Raw genomic sequence first — 24,823 nt, forward strand, 5'->3', positions numbered from 1 at the left:
ATAAGAGTAGGCCTGACTCCCCAGGCACCTCTAGGCATCCCCACAAATTAAGTTCAGACCCAATTGCACCCGAGGGGATGTCCTCTCCCACTCCGTCCTACCTCAGGATGACTGGCAGTAGAAACAGGTATTCCCCGCAGGGGAGGAACCCTCACACTCACCATGTGATGTGGCTTCACGGCTCAGACACTGCAATAGCAAAAGCCAACACTACCCTCAGTCTTAAAACCTCCCTTTTCTTGACACTTCCACCTTCTAAAGATGCCAAGTATATGGATGTGACTGTGAAATGTGCCCAGATAAATTTTAAGGAGATACAATATTGACTCCTGAGTGTTAAACCAATAAATTACAACATAACAGATGTGATTCACCCTGTTCAAAGGTTACTTTAGAGGTTATACTTTCTCCCAGGCCATAAACAGGAATAACACATAAGGGCAACTGATGCTTGATTGGACACAAAAGGAGACTAGCTTTATCACTGCTATGGACACATCGGAGACAGAATAGGTGAGCAGAGGATGTTGTCTATGTGACGGTAATAGATGGGTATTGGATAATGAGAAGCCATTCATCAGAGCCCAGGAAGAAGAAACCCAGAGCCTGGGAAGAAGAAACACTGAATCTGAGAAACTCAGTCACCAGAGAGTACTTTTCTGGGAAGCTGTGGTTTATGGAAAAGAAGGAATGCAGGTTGGAAAAGCAAAAAGAGAGCAGAGGACAGCTGCTTCCTAATTCCACAGGTAGCTCCCACCTGGGCTATCTCTAGTGTATGGCTCTTGAGACTTCATATTTATTTAGATTCTGCTTTACAGTTTACAAAGGGCTTCATATGTCTCTTATATGCTGAGGAAAGATAGTGGTGTTATATTGCTGAGGGAAACTGAGGCAAGATTTTAGTACTAGTAGAACTATAGAACTGATCTAGCACCCAGATCTTCAGCTTCCAATTCAAAGACATTTCCCCTCTAGGATTGCTGATCCAAACCAGAAGCTTGTCTCCGCAGCTTTGTCTGCCCTTTCTTGTCAAGCCTCCTCATGCCATTGCACTTTCCTACTTGCCTTGAACACCTTCCCTTTATATTCCTCCTGATTTGGTGCCATCCTATGCCTGGGTTGTTACAGAGAGTATATAGAAACAGCACAAGGCCATTGTTCTATCCTTTCACCCTTTGAGATGCAAGCACTATTTATCTTGGAATTTTTCATTTGGGTAATAACTAGACAAAGAATTACAGTACCTACTCCTTTCCTCCTTCAGCAAGGAGTCCTCAGGCAAGGTAACACTACTGGGGCCAGGTTCTCAGAAGAGAAGACTGTGAGAAGGAGGAGGAGGAAGAGGAGGAGGAGGAAGAGAGGAGGAGGAAGAGGAGGAAGAGAGGAGGAGGAAGTGGAGGAGGAGGAAGAGGAGGAGGAGGAAGAGGAGGAAGAGGAGGAGGAGGAGGAGGAATAACAGCCATTTATCATTCTTTGTATTGTTAGCTGGTGAAGCAAAATGGATACACTTTGTCTCTACAAACACACATTACAGCCAATGAGACATAAAAAAGGTGAAAATGGGCTACATTTTAAAAACATTATTTGCCTTGCATATTTTTATGAGTCTCCTTGACCCTGAAACTGAGGAAAAAATAACCTTCAAAGCAGAGAAGGGAGGTAGTGAAAGCAAACCAAACCAGAATACGAGATGAACATCATTGACATCAGAAACCATCTGCTGGTCTTTGTTGTTAAGAAAAACCCGTTAGCCTGGTTTAATGGGGACAGATCAGACAGCATGAGGTGGATTGTGCTGAAAGAAAACATGCAACTATCCCCCTATCCTTTGGGTATAAGGCAGGTTCTGACATTAGGCTAAAAAGACTGGCATTTAATGGCCCTGCATTTGCATAATGACCTTCCTTCTGTAGCTTGTGATATCTCAGCTAATTGCTTTAGAACACTTCTGCTACATCTGGGGTTTTTTTGTTTTTGTTTTTGTTGTTTGAGACCAGCTTTTCACTTGTTTCCCAGGCTGGAGTGCAATGGCGTGATCTCGGCTCACTGCAGCCTCCGCCTCCTGGGTTCAAGAGATTCTCCTGCCTCAGCCTCCCGGGTAGCTGGGACTACAGGTGCCCACCACCACATCCAGCTAATTTTTATTTTTTATTTTTGGGGGTTTTTTTTGTTTGTTTGTTTTTGAGATGGAGTCTCACTCTGTTGCCCAGGCTAGAGTGCAGTGGCATGATCTTGGCTCACTGCAACCTCCAGCTCCCGGATTCAAGCATTTCTCCTGCCTCGGTCTCCCAAGTAGCCAGGAGTACAGGTGCGTGCCACCACGCCTGGCTAATTTTTTGTATTTTAGTAGAGATGGGATTTCACCATGTTGGCCAGGATGGTCTCCATCTCCTGTCCTTGTGATCCACCCACCTCAGCCTCCCAAAATGCTGGGATTACAGGCGTGAGCCACCACGCCTCGTCCATCTGTTAGGTTTTACTACTTTCTAATCCATTCAAAATCCTCACTACCGGCCAAGTCCCAAGCCACTTAAAATTTTTGGAACATGAGGTTGTATGAACCAGAATTCATATGATTCACCTGGTGAGATATATGTGATGTGCTATCAGAAAGAAGGTAATGCCCAGAGAGAACACAAAGTCATAAAAAAAAAATCCTGATTTCTATGTCCTCTTATGTCACAGGGATGAGCTTTGAACAAAGCTTTGTTCCTTCCCATTGAGCTAGAGGAATCTTCCTGTGGATAGAATCTGTGATTCTATGAGTCAGGCAGTTCTCAAACTCCTCTGTGTAACCTGTAACTGAAGAATAAGGAGGTTCATAAATTTGGAAAGGAGAGCTTAATTTCTCAGCAAGACTTGCAGCCTGTATGGTGGCAATTCTGACAGGCTGGGAAGCACAGCCTTCAGTCAGAAGCCAGAAACAGACACTTTGAGGGAGGGGGAAGGGGAACAGGAATTTATGCAAGCAGGGTGGACAATTAGCCATAGATAAATATATCTTAGTTCTTCAGGTAATTCTGATATGAATACCCCCCACATTTAAAAAGCTGTAGGAGGAGTCATGAATATTTATGAGAGGAGAAACGTGCATGTGCAGCTGAGCTTCATGCCCCTTCATGGGTCCCAAAAAATGTCGGCATTGGCACGATCCGATCTTGGCCCTCTAACATCAAAAAGTAAAGTAGAGGACACAAAAACCCTCACTATGCATCCTCTGTGGACTGGCCAGAACCAATCTGTGGTAGGTGGTCTATCATTAGGAAGGAAGCCTGATTGGTTGTGGTGTCAACACTGCAAAAGGGAAGGGCAGCATCTGGCTGTTGGCTGATATCTGCAGTGGTGTCTTTCAGAAAGGCTGGTTTCTGGCCAGTCAAGGTGGCTCACACCTGTAATTTGAGCACTTGGAGAGGCTGAGCAAGAAGGATGGCTCGGGCCTAGGAGTTTGAGACTAGCCTGGGCAACATGGCAAGACCCTGTCTTGTATTTTTTAAAAACTTTAAATAAATACATAAAAATTTAAACATTTTTTAAAAATTAAAAACCAAAAAGGCTAGTTTCTGTTTAGCCATCAGGGAAGAAAGCCCTAATGACGTCAGCAAGGAAGGAGGTATAATGAGGGATGTTCAATCTCTCATCTCATCATGGCTAGGAACTCAGCTTCCAAGCTTTCTCTGGGGTCCCCTTGGGCAAGTGGGGGATCCATTCAGTTGGTGAGTGGGCCTAGAATTTTGTTTCTATTTCTGAAACCTGAGAGTGGTCCCAGACTTTTGGGAGAGAGGGTCCTGGTACCCACCATAATAAAATTCAAATTCTGAACTAATTGTGGTCTTATCCGCCTGTCCCAGGGGCAGTGTGGGCCAGGCACTCTCAGGCCCCGCTTAGGCTGAGCTCCTATTCTATGACTTCATTTTCTCAGCAGGTGAAGCGGGGGCTTGCCCCAGGAGCCAACAGAAAATCATCATGGTGAGGTGGGAAGCACGAGGACTGGAATCAGCAGATCTGAATTCTAAACTTGGTTGGCTACTGACAACCTGTATGACCTTAGACACTTAGCTCTAGGAGTCATTTAATAATAACTAAAAGTATCTATCATATATTAAGAGCCTATATGTGCCAGAGCCTATATTAAATACCTTACATATTTTAATTTATACATGTAAAATAATAAAATATATGTTAAATAATTCTCACAACAACCTAAATGAAGTCTAATATATCAATTTTTATTCTCATAGCATTTTATTTGCTAGAACAAATGAATACATTTAGCTCTATTTGGTCTATAAAATATTTGGAGAAAGCTAAAGTCTTTAAGTATTTTATTTTAGACAATAGAATATAAAAACTTAGTTGATGTCATTACTGGAAAATTATCCAAATATCAAAGATTTTCTCACATAAATCAGTGGATTACTTATTCATACAGTTAAATTCCAGTAAATACAATAAGAAGACAACATCTTCAAGGGTCAGAATAGGGTTTGATGTGTGACAAAATATAATTCAAGTTTATTTCACTAAAAAAAAAAGGTCAATTAGAAAGCTTAGTGGGACAATCAGAAGGGTAGCAAGCTCTGATCAAGGGATAGCAGAGCGTTGTCTCTAAAATGGTGTAATTTTTGTTTTCATTTTGCCAGCAAATGAATGTTGTCAGGGTTCCCTGCGATGGGGAAATTAGGTTAAATTTTGAAAATCAAACTGTTAAAATCCATCATGCTATGCAAGTCCAGACTGCTGAGAAAAATGACTAAACTACAGAAAGTTTTTTTCAGTGAATGGTTGAGAATGTGGGGTTAGAAAGGCAGTTATCCCGTTCCTCACTCATCATTAAGGGTCGTGTCAACACTCCTATAACAAAAGACAGTTAACAAGAGAAAAGCACAACAAATTTACTTAAAGTTTTACATGACATGGGAGCCTTCGGAAATGAAGACTCAAAGACCCAGAGAAAACTGTCTGTTTTTTTGCTTAGGTTTGATGAAGAATGGACAGCTGTGCGAAATGTGGTTAGACAAAAGGTGTGATCTAATGGTAATAGACTCAGGGGGACCCAGCAAGACTGATGCAGATTCTTCTTGGCCTCTCTGTGGGGCATTCCTTTCCTCTGGGTATAGGACAGGACACTTGTCACATGAGGGTCTTCATGGGCAAAGGGAGATTAGAGTGACCTTTCTAGGTTTTATGACTTGCTGTGGGTAACAGCAGTTCTAGTTTCTATGACTCCCCTTGGGAAAGGGGAATATTGCCTTCTGTGACTCCCCTTGGGAAAGGGGAATATTGCCTTCTATAACTCACTTGGTGGGAAAAGGAGGGGAGAAAGATGGGAGGCCAGGAAAAGATCAGAAAGACCTTCTTTTGAGACCTCCCAATCTCCTTTAGTTCAAAGTACTCAGCATGCCAAGACACCATACTTTGGGTATTGTGTTCTGAGCCTCAACAAGGACATGTGGCAAATCACATGTCCATCTGGAGGATCAGGATGTATTTTCTGGAAAATATAATTTTAGCAATATATTTGGGAATTTAACATAAATATGTTGCTGTGTAATTAACTATAATAAATATATAATAAATGTAATAAATGAATTCAGCTAACTTAATGCAGTCTCCTTAACCTCACAATGCATTTTGAAGAATAGGAAAATAATTTTAGATTCTTAGGCCCTTTTAGAAACGTCTTAGGCCTTTTTATACTTCTCATTGTTTTCAATATTTTGTTTCACTTTATTTTTATTTATTTTTTTTGAGACGGAGTCTCACTCTGTCACCCAGGCTGGAGTGCAGTGGCACGATCTCGGCTCACTGCAAGCTCCACCTCCCGGGTTCACGCCATTCTCCTGGCTCAGCCTCCTGAGTAGCTGGAACTACAGGTGCCCACCACCACACCTGGCTAATTTTTTGTATTTTTAGTAGAGACGGATTTCACCATGGTCTCGATCTCCTGACCTCGTGATCCACCTGCCTTGGCCTCCCAAAGTGCTGGGATTACAGGCGTGAGCCACCACGCCCAGCCTGTTTTCAAAATTTTAAATCAGTCCACAAAAGTAAATATAATTAGATATTTATCATCTTGTATTTAATTAGAAAATTTAAATATATGTAGATTAAGGACTTGCCCAAGGAGTGAATGGGAAGGCTGGATCGTGGATTTGTCTTCTGATAATATGATACTCTTTAGAATATTGCTTAAACATGTAAAGCAGAATCTGCAATCAAAGTAAATAATTATCCAGAGCCGACTTTGGATCACATTACAGATATTGACTCCTTTGTACCCTTTGGCTTTTTATAAACACAGCTTTAAACACAAGGTGAGTTACAACTCAAGGTGAATTTATATGAGTGAGTTGAGTCACTTTACCTCTCATTTGCCTTTCCTTGCTAGCAACCTTAAGACAGGATCTGTGTCTCTGTGAACCTAGGGGAAAAAAGGACCAGGCACAGTGGCTTATGCCTGTAATCCCAGGACTTTGGGAGGCTGAGGTGGGAGAATGGCTTGAGCCAAGGAATTTGAGACCAGCCTGGGCAACCTAGTGAGACCGTGTCTCTATTAAACTAAAAAAAAAAAAAAAAAAAAAAAATATGTATAAAAGAATCTATACATAGGCAAGGTGGAATGATTAAACTGGGGAAAGCAAACTATTGTACTCGCAAAAGAAGCTGAGGCAGGAAAATGTAGGAAGTTTCCCCATTGCAGATTGTGATGGTTAATACTGAGTGCCAACTTGATTGGATTGAAGGATACAAAGTATTGATCCTGGGTGTGTCTGTGAGGGTGTTGCCAAAAGAGATTAACATTTGAGTCAGTGGGCTCGGGGAGGCAGATCCACCCTTAGTCTGGTGCACACAATCGAATCAGCTGCCAGCGAATACAAAGCAGGCAGAAAAACATGAAAAGGAGAGACTGGCCTAGTCAGTGACTAGAAGAACAACGCCTAGTGGGCCTATTTGGATTTTTGGAAACAAGACATTCCTCATTTGGGTGTGTTACTCTGGCCCATTTATCGAGTGACCCAAAAGGCTGCTAGTTTTGAGTGGGGTCCAGAACAGGAGAAGGCTCTGCAACAGGTCCAGGCTGCTGTGCAAGCTGCTCTGCCACTTGGGCCATGTGACCCAGTAGATCCAATGGTGCTTCAGGTGTCAGCGGCAGATAGCGATGCTGTTTGGAGCCTTTGGCAGGCCTCCATAGGTGAATCACAGTGGAGGCCTCTAGGATTTTGGAGCAAGGCCCTGCCATCTTCTGCAGATAACTACTCTCCTTTTGAGAGACAGCTCTTGGTCTGTTACTGGGCTTTGGTGGAAACTGAATGTTTGGCCGGGCATGGCGGCTCATGCCTGTAATCCCAGCACTTTCGGAGGCTGAGACGGGCGGATCACAAGGTCAGGAGATTGAGACCATCCTGGCTAACATGGTGAAACCCCATCTCTACTAAAAATACAAAAAAAAAAATCAGCTGGGCGTGGTAGCAGGCGCCTGTAGTCCCAGCTATTTGGGAGGCTGAGGCAGGAGAATGGCATGAACCCAGGAGGCGGAGCTTGCAGTGAGCCGAGATCTCGCCACTGCACTCCAGCCTGGGCGACAGAGCGAGACTCCGTCTCAAAAAAAAAAAAAAAGAAAGAAACTGAATGTTTCACTATGGGTCATCAAGTCACCATGTGACCTGAACTGCCCGTCATGAACTGGGTGCTTTGTGACCCATCTAGCCATAAAGTGGGTTGTGCACAGCAGCATTCCATCATCAAATGGAAGTGGTATATATGTAACTGGTCTCCAGCAGGTCCCAAAGGCACAAGTAAGTTACATGAGAAGGTGGCTCAAATCCCCATGGTCTCCACTCCTGCCACCCTGCCTTCTCTTCCCCAGTCTGAACTGATGGCCTCATGGGGAGTTCCCTATGATCAGGTGACAGAGGAAGAGAAAACTAGGGCCTGGTTCACAGATGGTTCTGTACGATATGCAGGTACCACCCAAAAGTGGACAGCTGCAGCACTACAGCCCCTTTCTAGGACATCCCTGAAGGACAGCGGTGAAGGGAAATCTTCCTGGGGGCAGAACTTTGAGCAGTACACCTGGTTGTGCACTTTACATGGAAGGAGAAATGGCAAAGGAGATTAACATTTGAGTCAGTGGGCTGGGGGAGGCAGATCCACCCTTAATCTGGTGGGCACAATCTAATCAGCTGCCAACAAATATAAAGCAGGCAGAAAAACGTGAAAAGGAGAAGACGAGTCTAGGTTCCCAGCCTACATCTTTCATTCTGGATGCTTCCTGCCCTTGAACATTGGACTCCAAGTTCTTCAGTTTTGGGACTCAGACTGGCTCTCCTTGCTCCTCTCAGCTTGCAGAAAGCCTATTGTGGGACCTTGTTATCGTGTATGTTAATACTTAATAAACTCCCCTTTATATATCTACATCTGTATGTATATAAACACACACATATATAGATATATATATATCCTATTAGTTCTGTCCCTCCAAGAGAACACTGACTAATTCACAGATCAATGAGAAATACAACTAATTATCTTTAAAATGTTTGTACAGGGCCGGGCGTGGTGGCTCATGCCTGTAATCCCAGCACCTTGGGAGCTTTAGATGGGAGGACTGCTTGAGCCCAGTAGTTCAAGATGAGCCTAGGCAACATAGCAAGATCCTGTCTCTATTTGTTTCTAAAAAAGTTTGTGCAATAAATCAACAATTATTATTTACTTTAAATGGAACCATCCATTTATTACATAAAGCAAGGCAAGTCTATAGCTCCAAACCACACTCTATTATTTATACCCATTTTGAAAAGATTTTGTTTTCAAAGTCTTTTTACGTCCTTCTTGATATTGTAGGAAAAGGGGTGGTGAAGAACAGCCTCAGAGTTACTCCAAAATATTCCAGCCTTTGGCCCTCTGCTGTGCAGTTCTGGAGTCTCAATGTTTGTTCATACAGAGGTGATTAGGCCCAGAGAATATTGTGTTACAACATGCAGGCTCAAACTGGACTAACTTGATACAGAAAGCTAATTTCAACACTTACAGTTAGAAATATCTCTTTTCACTGGGAATCTACTTGGAAAATGCAATTGAGATGGTTTTTAAAAATGGAATCAGAACCCAAAACGAATTGAGATGGTTTTTTAAAATGGAATCGGAAATGTCTAGTTTCTATTCAATACTTTTAGTGTTTTAAACTGCTATTTCTATTTTTCTGATCACATACTCAGCTGCCTAATTGTTTCACAATGGTAATACCAATTATCCTCTTGTCTTCCAGAAAGAACACAGGGCTGTTGTCCCTACCCTGGGGAGCAGGCAGGTTAACATTAAAAGAAACTTCCAGATCCTCTTCATCCATTTCTCTTAAAGCCCAGATCCTGTTGCCAGTTCTATGAAACCAACAACATGCATTTTCTTTTTTCAGTCCCACCCAAAACACCAAAATCCCAAAATCTTTTCCATGTTAAATGCCACTTCACCATACAAAGCATGGGGAAGGGAGGGATTTGAAGGAAAAACAGAAAATTCCTATTCTGAAGATACTAGAGAAAAATGGAGAAGATAAGAGTCTCCCATCTTCCGTCTCAAGGTTGGCATTGGGGGAAAGAGATGAAGGGAGTAGAGGGAAGAACAGTTCCCTGTCCCAGCCCCACTATCCAATTCTCTCTTGCCTCTTTTCCCCATCTGTTCTCTTTGACCACCCTCATTGCCTTTATTCAATTTTCCTTTGCAGTATTCTCCCCCTTCAGAGAGCTGCAGTGGTCTAAGCTAAGCAATTCTTTAAATCTCTCTTCCTCCATAAATACATAATCACTGAGAGCCTAACACAATAAGATGAACTAATAGCTGCTTATCACTATCAACATCACCACCACCAGCAACAAAGCACCTCTGCTCTGTATGGCCTGTGGACGAAGCCCAGCCGGTGAAGTTCCACTGCTGTGAGAATGCACTGCCTGGTATTGCTGTCAGAGTGTTTTGACTCTCTTCTCCTCTATGTCACTGCACTTCTTTTCTCCTCCTTTATTTCTGGATGTCCCCTAGATGTCCTTTTTTAGCCTTCCCTCCACATTCTCCCCCTCACCTCTACCTTCCTTTTTCTGAGAACATTCATTCTCCCTGCTTCTGCTCCTTGGCCACAGTGGATTGGTCAGGGGTGCAGACTTACCTCAGGTGAGGCCAGTGTGGCCCATTCCTGGGATCTGAGATCTTGGTATCAAGAAAGAATCATATACAGAATCTAGAGGTTCTAGAATCAACATGATGGTATAATCAGATAGGTACAGAGAATCATATAGAATGTGTATAGATATATAGAATATAGATATGTAGACTCATATAGAAACTATAAAATGTAAGGGGTTTGGAGCTGTTGATAGCCATGTTTCCAATTACTTCTGATTAGAACTGATTGGGTTTTCTCACTCGCAACAAAAAGAATACAAATAAATGCTTCCCTCATGCCAGCCCCTAAACACAGCTTCAATAAATACCAGCCAGATCATGTTTTATTTCAAGGCTCCATTAGCCAATAAATATAAAGCTGACTACAACTTCTCACTTCCTGAAACATGGCCATTCTCATTTTAACGTTCTCATTCAAACATACTGCCAACTAGTATGTTTGGTCAGTTAACACGTTACTCACAAACAGAATCTTCTACATTGAGGTAATAGGTGTTTCACTCTCTAGTCTTTATGCAGGAAAGAAAACATCTCCTACAAGTGAAGATAATCTTTTTGTCTTTCAAAGGAATCCCACTGAGTTGGTAACTATATTATATTCAATATTTTTAAAAACAACCTTGTTAATTTTGTTAACCCCCATGTCTAAATTTCCCATGAGCATGCATTATAGGTCATATTTCTACAGAGTATACAGCGGAGCTTGCTCTGAACTGAAACGTTGTAGACATGCAGGCTACCAGACAGAAGTCGCAACAAACGAGTTGAGTTCCAGACAATATGGCTCATTTATCAAAATGTCAGAAGCACAATTAACTCAAACTTTCATGTACCATGAGCCAAGTCTGAAATTCAACTCCTGTGATGGGCTTTACTCTGCTTCTAATGTACCACCTATTTCCAACATGGTGCTGGCCCTCAGAGGGCCTGCCAGTTACCCTCTCTTCTTGGGATAGCAGCAAAACAAGGTTCCCTTGTTCTTTGGGTAGTTGACGCTACAATCTAAACATAACCAATTAGACCAGAAATGCATGCCTGACACAAATATAGCCATCTAACGCAGTATTTCAGAAACATCTAGAGCATTTCTTATAAACCAGTCTTGTAGGAACAAGCCCAGAGCTACAGGATCAAATTTCCCAAGAAAGGGTTATGAATTCTGTATTATAAAATACCACCACGTGATTCTGATGATAAACCCACAATCAGAACACAAAGGGACATACGAAGTGGCCTGAGACTTCTTCACAACAGGGCTGTGAGGAAGACACCTGTCACGCCTCTGAGCCCAAGCTAAGCCATCATATCCCCTGTGACCTGCACATACACATCCAGATGGTCGGTTCCTGCCTTAACTGATGACATTCCACCACAAAAGAAGTGAAAATGGCCTGTTCCTGCCTTAACTGATGACATTGTCTTGTGAAATTCCTTCTCCTGGCTCATCCTGGCTCAAAAGCTCCCCCACTGAGTACCTTGTGACCCCCACTCCTGCCCGCCAGAGAACAACCCCCCTTTTTCCTTTACCTACCCAAATCCTATAAAACAGCCCCACCCATCTCCCTTCACTGACTCTCTTTTCGGACTCAGCCCACCTGCACCCAGGTGAAATAAACAGCCATGTTGCTCACACAAAGCCTGTTTGATGGTCTCTTCACACGGACGCGCATGAAATTTGGTGCCGTGACTCGGATCGGGGGACCTCCCTTGGGAGATCAATCCCCTGTCCTCCTGTTCTTTGCTCTGTGAGAAAGATCCACCTACGACCTCAGGTTCTCAGACCGACCAGCCCAAGGAACATCTCACCAATTTTAAATCGGGTAAGCGGCCTCTTCTTACTCTCTTCTCCAACCTCTCTCACTGTCCCTCAACCACTTTCTCCTTTCCACTCTTCAATCTCTCCCTTCTCTTAATTTCAATTCCTTTCATATTCTGGTAGAGAGAAAAGAGACACGTTTTATCCATGGACCCAAAACTCCAGTGCCAGTCACAGACTGGGAAGGCAGCCTTCCCTTGGTGTTTAATAATTGCAGGGTCGCCTCTCTGATTATTCACCCATGTTTCAGAGGTGTCAGACCATGCAGGGACGCCTGCCTTTGTCCTTCACCTTTAGCAGCAAGTCCCGCTTTTCTAGGGGAGGGGCAAGTACCTCAACCCCTTCTCTCCATGTCTCTACCCCTTCTCCGCCTTTCTGGGGGGCAAGAAACCCCCAACCCCTTCTCCATCACTCTTAGTGGCAAGTCCCGCTTTTCTGGGGGAAGGGCAAGTACCCCAACCTTGTATCTCTGTGCCCCAATCCCTTATTTCCGTGCTCCAACCTCTTATATCTCTGTGCCCTGATCCCTTATTTCCACACCCCAACCTCTTATATCTCTGCACCATGATCCCTTATTTCCATGCCCCGACCTCATATCTCTGTGCCCCAACCCCTTTCCCACTTTTCTGGAGGGTAAGAACCCCCGAACTGCTTCCCTCCGTGTCTCTACTCTCCCTTTTCTTTAAACTTGCCTCCTTCACTATGGGCAGCCTTCCACCCTCCATTCCTCCTTCTTCTCCCTTAGCCTGTGTTCATAAGAACATAAAACCTCTTCAACTCTCGCCTGATCTAAAACCTAAATGCCTTATTTTCTTCTACAATGCCGCTTGACCCCAGTACAAACTTGACAGTGATTCTAAATGGCCAGAAAACGGCACTTTCGATTTCTCCATCTTACAAGACCTAAATAATTTTTTGTCGAAAAATAGGCAAATGGTCTGAGGTGCCTGACGTCCAGGCATTCTTTTACACATCGGTCCCTCCCTAGTCTCTGTGCCCAGTGCAACTCGTCCCAAATCTTCCTTCTTTCCCTCCCACCTGTCCCCTCAGTCCCAACCCCAAGCGCCACTGAGTCTTTCTAATCTTCCCTTTCTACAGACCCATCTGACCTTTCCCCTCCTCCCCAGGCTGCTCCTCACCAGGCTGAGCTAGGTCCCAATTCTTCCTCAGCCTCCGCTCCTCCACCCTATAATCCTTTTATCACCTCTCCTCCTCACACCGGGTCCGGCTTACAGTTTCGTTCTGCGACTAGTTCTTCCCCACCTGCCCAAAAATTTCCTCTTAAAAAGGTGGCTGAAGCTAAAGGCATAGTCAAGGTTAATGCTCCTTTTTCTTTATCCAACCTCTCCCAAATCAGTTAGCATTTAGACTTTTTCATCAAATATGAAAAACCCAGCCAAGTTCACGGCTCGTTCGGCAGCAACCCTGAGATGCTTTACAGCCCTAGACCCTAAAAGGTCAATAAGCCGTCTTCTTCTCAATATACATTTTATTACCCAATCCACTCCTGACATTAAATAAAACTCCAAAAATCAAATTCCAGCCCTCAAACCCCACAACAGGACTTAATTAACCTCATCTTCAAGGTGTACAATAATAGAGGCAGCCAAGTAGCAACGTATTTCTGAGTTGCAATTCCCTGCCTCCACTGTGAGACAAACCCCAGCCACATCTCCAGCACACGAGAACTCCAAATGCCTGAACCGCAGCTGCCAGGGGTACCTCCAGAATCTCCTCCCCCAGGAGCTTGCTACAAGTGCCAGAAATCTGGCCACTGGGCCAAGGAATGCCCACAGCCCCGGATTCCTCCTAAGCCACATCCCATCTGTGTGGGACCCCACTGAAAATCAGACTGTTCAACTCACCTGGCAGCCACTCCCAGAGCCCCTGAACTCTGGCCCAAGGCTCTCTGACTGACTGCTTCCCAGATCTCGGCTTAGCAGTTGAAGACTGACACTGCCCGATCGCCTCCGAAGCCTACAGGACCATCACAGACGCTCTGGGTAACTATCACAGTGGAGGGTAAGTCCATCCCCTTCTTAATCAATATGGAGGCTACCCAATCCACATTACCTTCTTTTCAAGGGCCTGTTTCCTTTGCCTCCATAACTGTTGTGGGTATTGACGGCCAGGCTTTTAAATCTCTTAAAACTCCCCAACTCTAGTGCCAACTTAGACAATACTCTTTTAAGCACTCCTTTTTAGTTATCCACACCTGCCCAGTTCCCTTATTAGGCCGAGACACTTTGACTAAATTATCTGCTTCCCTGACTATTCCTAGGCTACAGCCACACCTCATTGCTGCCTTTTCCCCCAGTTCAAAGCCTCCTTCACATCCTCCCCTTGTATCTCCCCACCTTAACCCACAAGTATAGGACACCTCTACTCCCTCCTTAGTGACCGATCATGCACCCCTTACCATCCCATTAAAACCTAATCACCCTTACCCCGCTCAACGCCAATATCCCATCCCACAGCATGCTTTAAAAGGATTAAAGCCTGTTATCACTGGCCTGCTACAGCATGGGCTTCTAAAACCTATAAACTCTCCTTACAATTCCCCCATTTTACCTGTCCAAAAACCGGACAAGTCTTACAGATTAGTTCAGGATCTGCGCCTTATCAACGAAATTGTTTTGCCTATCTACCTCATGGTGCCAAACCCATACACTCTCCTATCCTCAGTACCTCCCTCTACAACCCATTATTCTGTTCTAGATCTCAAACATGCTTTCTTTACTATTCCTTTGCACCCTCATCCCAGCCTCTCTTCACTTTCACTTCGACTGACCCTGACACCCATCAGGCTCAGCAAATTACCTGGGCTGTACTGCCGCAAGGCTTCACAGGCAGCCCCCATTACTTCAGTCAAGCCCAAATTTCATCCTCATCTGTTACCTATCTCAGCATAATTCGTCATAAAATCACAGGTGCTCTCCCTGCTGATCGTGTCCAATTAATCTCCCAAACCTCAATCCCTTACAAAACAACAACTCCTTTCCTTCCTAGGCATGGTTAATGTGGTCAGAATTCTTACACAAGAGCCAGGACTGCACCCTATAGCCTTTCTGTCCAAACAACTTGACCTTACTGTTTTAGCCTAGCCCTCATGTCTGCGTGCAGCGGCTGCTGCTGCTTTAATACTTTTAGAGGCCCTAAAAATCACAAACTATGCTCAACTCACTCTCTACATTTCTCATAACTTCCAAAATCTATTCGCTTCCTCACACCTGACATATATACTTTCTGCTCCCCAGCTCCTTCAGCTATACTCACTCTTTGTTGAGTCTCCCACAATTACCATTGTTCCTGGCCCGGACTTCAACCCTGCCTCCCACATCATTCCAGATACCACACCTGACCCTCATGACGGCATCTCTCTGATCCACCTGACATTCACCCCATTTACCCACATTTCCCTCTTCCCTGTTTCTCACCCTGATCACACTTGGTTTATTGATGGCAGTTCCACCAGGCCTAATCGCCACTCACCAGCAAAGGCAGGCTATGCTATAGTATCTTCCACATCTATCCTTGAGGCTACCGTTCTTCCCTCCTCCACTACCTCTCAGCAAACCGAACTAGTTGCCTTAACTCAAGCCCTCACTCTTGCAAAAGGACTACGCGTCAATATCTATACTGATTCTAAATATGCCTTTCATATTCTGCACCACCATGCTGTTACATGGGCTGAAAGAGGTTTCCTCACTATGCAAGGGTCCTCCATCATTAATGCCTCTTTAATAAAAACTCTACTCAAGGCTGCTTTACTTCCAAAGGAAGCTGGGGTCATTCACTGCAAGGGGCATCAAAAGGTGTCAGATCCCATTGCTCCAGGCAACGCTTATGCTGATAAAGTGGCTAGACAAGCAGCTAGCTCTCCAACTTCTGTACCTCATGGCCAGTTTTTCTCCTTCACATCGGTCACTCCCACCTACTCCCCTGCTGAAACTTCTACCTATCAATCTCTTCCCACACAAGGCAAATGGTTCTTAGACCAAGGAAAATATCTCCTTCCAGCCTCACAGGCCCATTCTATTCTGTTGTCATTTCATAACCTCTTCCATTTAGGTTATAAGCCACTAGCTCGTCTCTTAGAACTTCTCATTTCCTTTCCATCATGGAAATCTATCCTCAAGGAGATCACTTCTCAGTGTTCCATCTGCTATTCTACCACCCCTCAGGGGTTGTTCAGGCCCCCTCCCTTTCCTACACATCAAGCTCTGGGATTTGCCCCTGCCCAGGACTGGCTAATTGACTTTACTCACATGCCTTGAGTCAGAAAACTAAAATACCTCTGGTCTGGGTAGACACTTTCACTGGATAGGTAGAGGCCTTTCCCACAGGGTCGGAGAAGGCCACCGAGGTCATTTCTTCCCTTCTGTCAGATATAATTCCTTGGTTTGGCCTTCCCACCTCTATACAGTCTGATAACGGACCAGCCTTTACTACTCAAATCACCCAAGCAGTTTCTCAGGCTCTTGGTATTCAGTGAAACCTTTATATCCCTTACAGTCCTGAGTCTTCAGGAAAGGTAGAACGGACTAATGGTCTTTTAAAGACACACCTCACCAAGCTCAGCCACCAACTTAAAAAGGACTGGACAATACTTTTACCACTTTCCCTTTTCAGAAGTCAGACCTGTCCTCAGAATGCTACAAGGTACAGCCCATTTAAGCTCCTGTATAGACGCTCCTTTTTATTAGGCCCCAGTCTCATTCCAGACACCAGACCAACTTAGACTGTGCCCCCAAAAAACCTGTTATCCCTACTATCTTCTGTCTAGTCATACTCCTATTCACCGTTCTCAACTACTCATACATGCCCTGCTCTTGTTTACACTGCCGGTTTACACTGTTTCTCCAAGCCATCACAGCTGATATCTCCTCGTGCTATCCCCAAACTGCCACTCTTAACTCTTGAAGTAAATAAATAATCTTTGCTGGCAGGACTACGCTGAATCTCCTCAGGCACTCTCTAATCAGATGTCCTGAGTCATCCCAATTCTTAGAGCTTTTATAGCTGTTTTTCTCCTTCTCTTATTCCATTTAGTTTTTCAATTCATACAAAACTGTATCCAGGCCATCACAAATAATTCTAAATGACAAATGTTCCTTCTAACAACTCCACAATATCACCGCTTACCACAAAATCTTCCTTCAGTTTAATCTCTCCCACTCTAGGTTCCCACGCCGCCCCTAATCCCGCTCGAAGCAGCCCTGAGAAACATTGCCCATTATCTCTCCATACCACCCCCCAAAATTTTCACCGTCCCAACACTTTACCACTATTTCATTTTATTTTTCTTATTAATATAAGAAGACAGGAATGTCAGGCCTCTGAGCCCAAGCTAAGCCATCATATCCTCTGTGACCTGCACATACACATCCAGATGGTCGGTTCCTGCCTTAACTGATGACATTCCACCACAAAAGAAGTGAAAATGGCCTGTTCCTGCCTTAACTGATGACATTGTCTTGTGAAATTCCTTCTCCTGGCTCATCCTGTCTCAAAAGCTCCCCCACTGAGTACCTTGTGACCCCCCACTCCTGCCCACCAGAGAACAACCCCCCTTTTTCCTTTACCTACCCAAATCCTATAAAACAGCCCCACCCCTATCTCCCTTCACTGACTCTTTTCGGAATCAGCCCACCTGCACCCAGGTGAAATAAACAGCCATGTTGCTCACACAAAGCCTGTTTGGTGGTCTCTTCGCATGGATGTGCATGAAAACCCCCCATCAGATTTTCCCCTTGGGGTGTCCAAAGGTGACATACATGGATAAAAAACAGAGTCCTGGCCCGGCGCGGTGGCTCATGCCTATAATCCCAGTACTTTGGGAGGCCAAGGCGGGTGGATCACCTGAAGTCAAGAGTTCGAGACCAGCCTGGCCAACATGGTGAAACCCTGTCTCTACTAAAAATACAAAAATCAGCCAAGTGTGGCGGCAGGTGCCTGTAATCCCAACTACTCAGGAGACTGAGGCAGAAGAATCGCTTGAACCCGGGAGGCAGAGGTTGCAGTGAGACAAGATCGTGCCACTGCACTCCAGCCTGGCAACAGAGCAAGATTCTGTCTCAAAAACAAAACAAAACAAAACAAAACAAGAAAAAAAAAAAGAAAAGAAAACAATTCTGAGCAGCAAAACCTGAGAGACTCTCAGAGAGACAACTGTGTGGGGAAAAGAAAGAGAGATCAGACTGTTACTGTGTCTATGTAGAAAGAAGTAGACATAAGAGACTCCATTTTGTTCTGTACTAAGAAAAATTCTTCTGCCTTGAGATGCTGTTAATCTGTAACCCTACCCCCAACCCTGTACTCGCAGAAACATGTGCTGTGTGGACTCAAGGTTTAATGGATTTAGGGCTATGCAGGATGTGCTTTGTTAAACAAATGCTTGAAGGCAGCATGCTTGTTAAAAGTCATTACCACTCCCTAATCTCAAGTACCCAGGGACACAAAACACTGCGGAAGGTCACAGGGACCTCTGCCTAGGAAAGCCAGGTATTGTCCAAGGTTTCTCTCCATGGGATAGTCTGAAATATGGCCTTGTGGGAAGGCAAAGACCTGAAAGTCCCCCAGCCCGACACCCGTAAAGGGTCTGTGCTGAGGAGGATTATTAAAAGAGGAAGGCCTCTTTGCAGTTGAGGTAAGAGGAAGGCATCTGTCTCCTGCTTGCCCCTGGGCAATGGAATGTCTCTGTGTAAAAACCGATTGTATGTTCCATCTACTGAGATAGGAGAAAACCGCCTTAAGGCTGGAGGTGAGACATGCTGGTGGCACTACTGCTCTTTAATGCACAAGATATGTTTATGTATGTGCACATCAAAGCACAGCACATTTTCTAATCTTGTTTATGACACAGAGACATTTGTTCACATGTTTTCCTGCTGACCCTCTCCCCACTATTACTCTATTGTCCTGCCACATCCCCCTCTCCGAGATGGTAGAGATAATGATCAATGAATACTGAGGGAACTCAGAGACCGGTGCCGGCGCGGGTCCTCCGGCGCGGGTCCTCCGTATGCTCAGCGCCAGTCCCCTGGGCCCACTTTTCTTTCTCTATACTTTGTCTCTGTGTCTCTTTCTTTTCTCAGTCTCTCGTCCCACCCAACGAGAAACACCCACAGGTGTGGAGGGGCAGGCCACCCCTTCACAACTGTAAACTCATAGGTAGAGACCACGGGAAAGATAGAAATTTAAGCAAAGGCAGTATTACCTAGATTCATTAGAGGGATTGGCAGCAGAAACAGCACTAAAATGGAAGTACCATTAGAACCCGAAGCGATGGTGGAGCAGTAGACAGACGAGCTGCCGATGTGATACCCGGATGCAAAATGGCGTGCTAGGTCCACAGTATTGAAAGCTCAGTAACTGGGATGGTTTCTTCTGCTTCTTGACTTTCCTTTGGTTTCCTATGATAAACTCCCATCACCTGAGATACCCTAAAAGACCTAATTCACTCACTGGTTTTACTTCTTGAAAAAGAAGAAAGGATTTTTAGAGGAGCGTGCCCTTTCAAGGGCCATAGCAAAGGCTTCTGAAGCATGATTTCAGTCATTACACTAACTGAGGTGAACAGATAATGTATGACATCTATTAACTTACAAAAGCAACACTGTGCTGGTGTGTGTGTGTGTGTGCGCGCATGTGTGTGCTCACCTTACTCTATACAAGTAATAAATCTCTGGCTTTGACAGAAAACTAGGAAGAGATTTATTTCTGAGAATTAAACGCTTTAGAACAGTTCCTTGAAAGCAACGAACCAGCCCAGGTAAATACCATTTATGAAGACTCCTGGGAGTGACAGCCAGGCTTAGTCTGGCAACACCTGGGCTCTCTCTTTTGAAAAAATTTAACATTAAATTTACATAAGCAGGCTAATCTCTTAACATTCAAAATGGCAACAGTATAAAAGCTACTATAAGAAAATTTAACAGGTGACAGAACAGAGCCCTCAGAAATAGTACCACACATCTACAACCATCTGATCTTTGACAAACCTGACAAAAACAAGAAATGGGGAAAGGATTCCCTATTTAATAAATGGTACTGGGGAAACTGGCTAGCCATATGTAGAAAGCTGAAACTGGATCCCTTCCTTACACCTTATACAAAAATTAACTCAAGATGGATTAAAGACTTAAATTTAGACCTAAAACCATAAAAACCCTAGAAGAAAACCTAGGCATTACCATTCAGGACATAGGCATGGACAAGGACTTCATGACTAAAACACCAAAAGCAATGGCAACGAAAGCCAAAATACACAAATGGGGATCTAATTAAACTAAAGAGCTTCCGCACAGCAAAAGAAACTACCATCAGAGTGAACAGGCAACCTACAGAATGGGAGAAAATTTTTGCAATCTACTCATCTGACAAAGGGCTAATATCCAGAATCTACAAAGAACTTAAACAAATTTACAAGAAAAAATCAAACAACCCCATCAAAAAGTGGGCGAAGGATATGAACATATACTTCTCAAAAGAAGACATTTATGCAGCCAACAGACACATGAAAAAATGCTCATCATCACTGGCCATCAGAGAAATGCAAATCAAAACCACAATGAGATACCATCTCACACCAGTTAGAATGGCCATCATTAAAAAGTCAGGAAACAACAGGTGCTGGAGAGGATGTGGAGAAATAGGAACACTTTTACACTGTTGGTGGGAGTGTAAACTAGTTCAACCATTGTGGAAGACAGTGTGGCAATTCCTCAGGGATCTAGAACTAGAAATACCATTTGACCCAGCCATCCCATTACTGGGTATATACCCAAAGGATATAAATCATGCTGCTATAAAGACACATGCACATGTATGTTTATTGCAGCACTATCCACAATAGCAAAGACTAGGAACCAACCCAAATGTCCATCAATGATAGACTGGATTAAGAAGATGTGGCACATATACACCATGGAATACTATGCAGCCATTAAAAAAGGATGAGTTCATGTCCTTTGTAAGGATATGGATGAAGCCGGAAAGCATCATTCTCAGGAAACTATAGGAAGGACAAAAAACCAAACACTGCATGTTCTTACTCATAGGTGGGAACTGAACAATGAGAACACTTGGACACAGCAAGGGGAACGTCACACACCGGGGCCTGTCATGGGTTGCGGGGAGGGGGGAGGGATAGCATTAGGAGATATACCTAATGTAAATGACGAGTTAATGGGTGCAGCACACCAACATGGCACATGTATATACATATGTAGCAAATCTGCACATTGTGCACATGTGCCCTAGAACTTAAAGTATAATAAAAATAAATAAATAAACAAAAAATTAAAATTAAAAAAAGAAAATTTAACAGGTGAAAATGTGAACTTAATTTAAATTAACAAATTGAGAGCTTCCTTTGTATAAAATTTTATTAGTGGGACATTGTTTTGATCATTACAAATAATTTTAATTTTCAAAGTAGCTCTTTTTATGGATCACTAACTAAATATACACATATGTGTATTTTAATATTATAAACTAGGAAGTATCACACACACATGACATTTTCTAATGCACAAATGGAGAACATGTAATTTTAAATCCCAACCCTACAATCACTTAGAAGTTAATATAAATCAGAGTTTAATTTTTTCAATTAAGATCAGCTTTTCTTTCTTTTTAAAATGGTATGTTTCCTATCATACCATTCCATCCCAGAAAAAAATAAAAGAAATAATTAAAAATACTACAAAATATGAGAGTTGTGATATCCCTGTCATAAATAAGGGACTAACGGTAAAACTGATTTTCCTGCAAAGAGTTAAAAATCCTTTATAATATCACACCATCTCATAAGGGGGAACGGTTACACTAAATATAGAACGTCTTGAATGCCTGCAAAGCCAAAATGGTGAATAATAAAAAGGAAATAAGCTGTGAACCAGGTATCAGCCTCCTCAAAGAGAAAAGTTTGTGTGAATATTGGGAACCCTAGAATTGCTTTATCAGTCATCTGAGGACATCCAGACTGCAGAACAATTGTCTTGATCTGCAAATAATTTCTGCTTATCATCAGACGGTTGTGGTGTAATACCAAGAAATAAATGTCTAGCACAGACTTTCTGTTTATGATGTTACACTAGAGGATGTATGTAAAAATGGTTTCTGAGGCTATCCTTACTCCTTGGCTCTTGGCTAGCAATCTTAACAATTTCTTGATATGACACTTTTTTTCCTTTAAGATTTTACTCTAAGGATAATTTTCCAAGTGGGTTGCATTCTGAAATTGTTTTGTTACTCTTAACATTACTCAAAAAAAAAGCTTCTCAGATGTGCAAAGGTATTTTCAAGGGATATAATGGCTGCTTTCTGTTGGGACATAATTCTTCATGAAGCTCTTGCGTTTCTGCATCTCTTGTGAGCCAAAGCATTAACTTCCATTTTGTTTCAGACTACCTTTTCCTGGATGTTTGTGTCAGCCTTGGAAGGTTGAGATCTGTCTCTCTCTAAAACTGACAGTTGGTTGCTTCCTGTCCAGTATAACAAAGCTAATATATCCCCCTACAGTGAAGGTCAGGCAGGTTTGCTTGCAGCCCTCTATAATAGATATTCTATAAATATTTTAGAAACCAAAGTTTGAATCTATGTTGCCCCATAATCAGCCAGTGAAAGCCCATTGAGACAAATGGAACAATGAAGACTGAAATTTAAACTTTTGTTTCAATGTGGAAATTTTGCTATTTGGGCAATTTCACTCATTTAGAAAACAGACTGTAGTTGGTGTCCTTGTTAACCCCAAGTCTTTGCTTAATTATTATTCAGTGCTGCAGCTTATAGTATTAGCTGTGATTTGGGGCCTTAAGGAAGGGCTTAGATTGGCCACAGTCAGGACAAAGCAGCATGAAAAAAGCTGTGGCCAAAGAGAAGCCTGTTACCTGCCAGTGGCCAGAGGTGACCCTGGAAGCCAGCACAGCCGCTGCCCAGACAAGAACAACCAGGACGGCTGTGAGTATCCTGGTGGATGATGAGGGGAACCTGGTCAAAGACTAGACTTCTTCTTTTTTTTTTTTTTTTTTTTTGAGATGAAGTCTCACTCTGTTGCCCAGGCTGGAGTGCAGTGGCGCGATGTCGGCTCACTGCAATCTCTGCCTCCCGCGTTCAAGCGATTCTTCTGCCTCAGCATCCTGAGTAGCTAGGACTACAGGCATGCACCACCAAGCCTGGCTAATTTTTTGTATTTTTAGTAGAGATGGGGTTTCACTGTGTTAGCCAGGATGGTCTCGATCTCCTGACCTTGTGATCCACCCACCTCGGCCTCTCAAAGTGCTGGGATTACAGGCGTGAGCCACCGCGCCCAGCCCAAAGACTAGACTTCTAAAACATCATCTGGGCGGGGTGTGATGGCTCACTCTTGTAATCCCAGCACTTTGGGAGGCCAAGGCGGGCAGATCACCAGGTCAGGAGTTAGAGACCAGCCTGAACAACATGGTGAAACCCCAACTCTACTAAAAATACAAAAATTAGCCAGGTGTGGTGACGCACACCTCTAGTCCCAGCTACTCGGGAGGCTGAGGCAGGAGAATCGCTTGAACCCAGGAAAGGGAGGTTGCAGTGAGCTGAGATCACACCACTGCACTCCAGCCAGGGTGACAGAGTGAGACTCTGTCTCAAAAAAAAAAAAAAAAAAAGATTCTGGGACAAATGCCCATCAACGATAGACTGGATAAAGAAAATGTGGCACATATACACCATGGAATACTATACAGCCATAAAAAAGAATGAGTTCATGTCCTTTGCAGGGATACAGATGAAGCTGGAAACCATCATTCTCAGCAAACTAACACAGGAACAGAAAACCAAACACTGCATGTTCTCACTCATAAGTGGGAGTTGAACAATGAGAACACACGGACACAGGGAGGGGAACGTCACACACTGGGGCGTTCCCCCAGGGCAAGGTTGGGGGCAAGGGAAGGGATAGCATTAGGAGAAATACCTAATGTAGATGAGGAGTTGATGGGTGCAGCAAACCACCATGGCACATGTATACCTATGTAACAAACCTGCACGTTCTGCACATGTACCCAGAACTTAAAGTATTAAAAAAAAAAATGACTCCGAGAGACGAGAATTGAGGGGATAAGTGGTCAACAATAACAATACTAAACTCAGCCAAATTAACTGCTGTATTAAAAATTGGGTTTCAATAATAAAATGTGGCACATCAAACCAGCCTGCCCCTATAAAAATATCAGGTTGATCTATTCATCAAACAAATATTTTTGAACATATAGTCTATGCCCAGGCACTGCACAAAATCCATAGGTATAACATGATGAACAACATGGCTTCCTGCTAGGATCTTAAACACTCAGAGGGGACAACACACCTTACTGGCAATGGCAACATAGTTTTATTAGTTAGGGTATGTTCAGCAAAAAAAATCAATAGGTTTAATAAAATTAAACTTTACTTCTTTTGCACAAAAGTCCAGATAGACAGTCCCAGGCAACTATGTAGACTCCACAATCATCGGGACGATGGGCTTCTACTAAATTGTTGCTCTATCATCGACACATGGCTTCCACCTTGTGGAAGATTCCCAGTAATGGGAGATCTCTCAAGAACCCACAAAACATTCCCTGGTGCCCAGAGACCATCAATGCCAGGTTATCACAGTACCGGTGAGGTAAGGCGTTCCTACACCCTTGCTACTCCTACTTAGGTACTTTTACCAAATTCTGGAAGATTCAGAGTCAGCCAAGTATATTAACACAGGAAGGAGAAGCACACAGTAGAAAAATGGAGAAGTTGGCCATCTTCCTCCCAAACTGAAAGCTTCCCAGGAGAGAAGCCAATGTTAACTTTATG

At 43.5% G+C, this 24,823-nt stretch overlaps 5 annotated features.

Moving 5' to 3' along the window:
* Positions 237-296: an enhancer, noted in NCBI's record as "active region_13207". NCBI's record gives its function as "activates an Ori minimal core promoter by ATAC-STARR-seq in GM12878 lymphoblastoid cells {active_cell/tissue: GM12878}" and the evidence as "EXISTENCE:reporter gene assay evidence [ECO:0000049][PMID:35858748]".
* Positions 11,298-12,089: an enhancer, noted in NCBI's record as "OCT4-NANOG-H3K27ac hESC enhancer chr18:29383595-29384386 (GRCh37/hg19 assembly coordinates)". NCBI's record gives its function as "activates a minimal SCP1, AML or CMV promoter by ChIP-STARR-seq in naive and primed H9 embryonic stem cells {active_cell/tissue: H9 hESC(naive and primed)}" and the evidence as "EXISTENCE:reporter gene assay evidence [ECO:0000049][PMID:30033119]".
* Positions 16,710-17,487: an enhancer, noted in NCBI's record as "OCT4-NANOG-H3K27ac hESC enhancer chr18:29389007-29389784 (GRCh37/hg19 assembly coordinates)". NCBI's record gives its function as "activates a minimal SCP1, AML or CMV promoter by ChIP-STARR-seq in naive H9 embryonic stem cells {active_cell/tissue: H9 hESC(naive)}" and the evidence as "EXISTENCE:reporter gene assay evidence [ECO:0000049][PMID:30033119]".
* Positions 17,488-18,265: an enhancer, noted in NCBI's record as "OCT4-NANOG-H3K27ac-H3K4me1 hESC enhancer chr18:29389785-29390562 (GRCh37/hg19 assembly coordinates)". NCBI's record gives its function as "activates a minimal SCP1, AML or CMV promoter by ChIP-STARR-seq in naive H9 embryonic stem cells {active_cell/tissue: H9 hESC(naive)}" and the evidence as "EXISTENCE:reporter gene assay evidence [ECO:0000049][PMID:30033119]".
* Positions 18,266-19,043: an enhancer, noted in NCBI's record as "OCT4-NANOG-H3K27ac-H3K4me1 hESC enhancer chr18:29390563-29391340 (GRCh37/hg19 assembly coordinates)". NCBI's record gives its function as "activates a minimal SCP1, AML or CMV promoter by ChIP-STARR-seq in naive H9 embryonic stem cells {active_cell/tissue: H9 hESC(naive)}" and the evidence as "EXISTENCE:reporter gene assay evidence [ECO:0000049][PMID:30033119]".

Source organism: Homo sapiens, chromosome 18 (genome assembly GCF_000001405.40).
Source record: "Homo sapiens chromosome 18, GRCh38.p14 Primary Assembly".
Taxonomy (NCBI): Eukaryota; Metazoa; Chordata; class Mammalia; order Primates; family Hominidae; genus Homo; species Homo sapiens.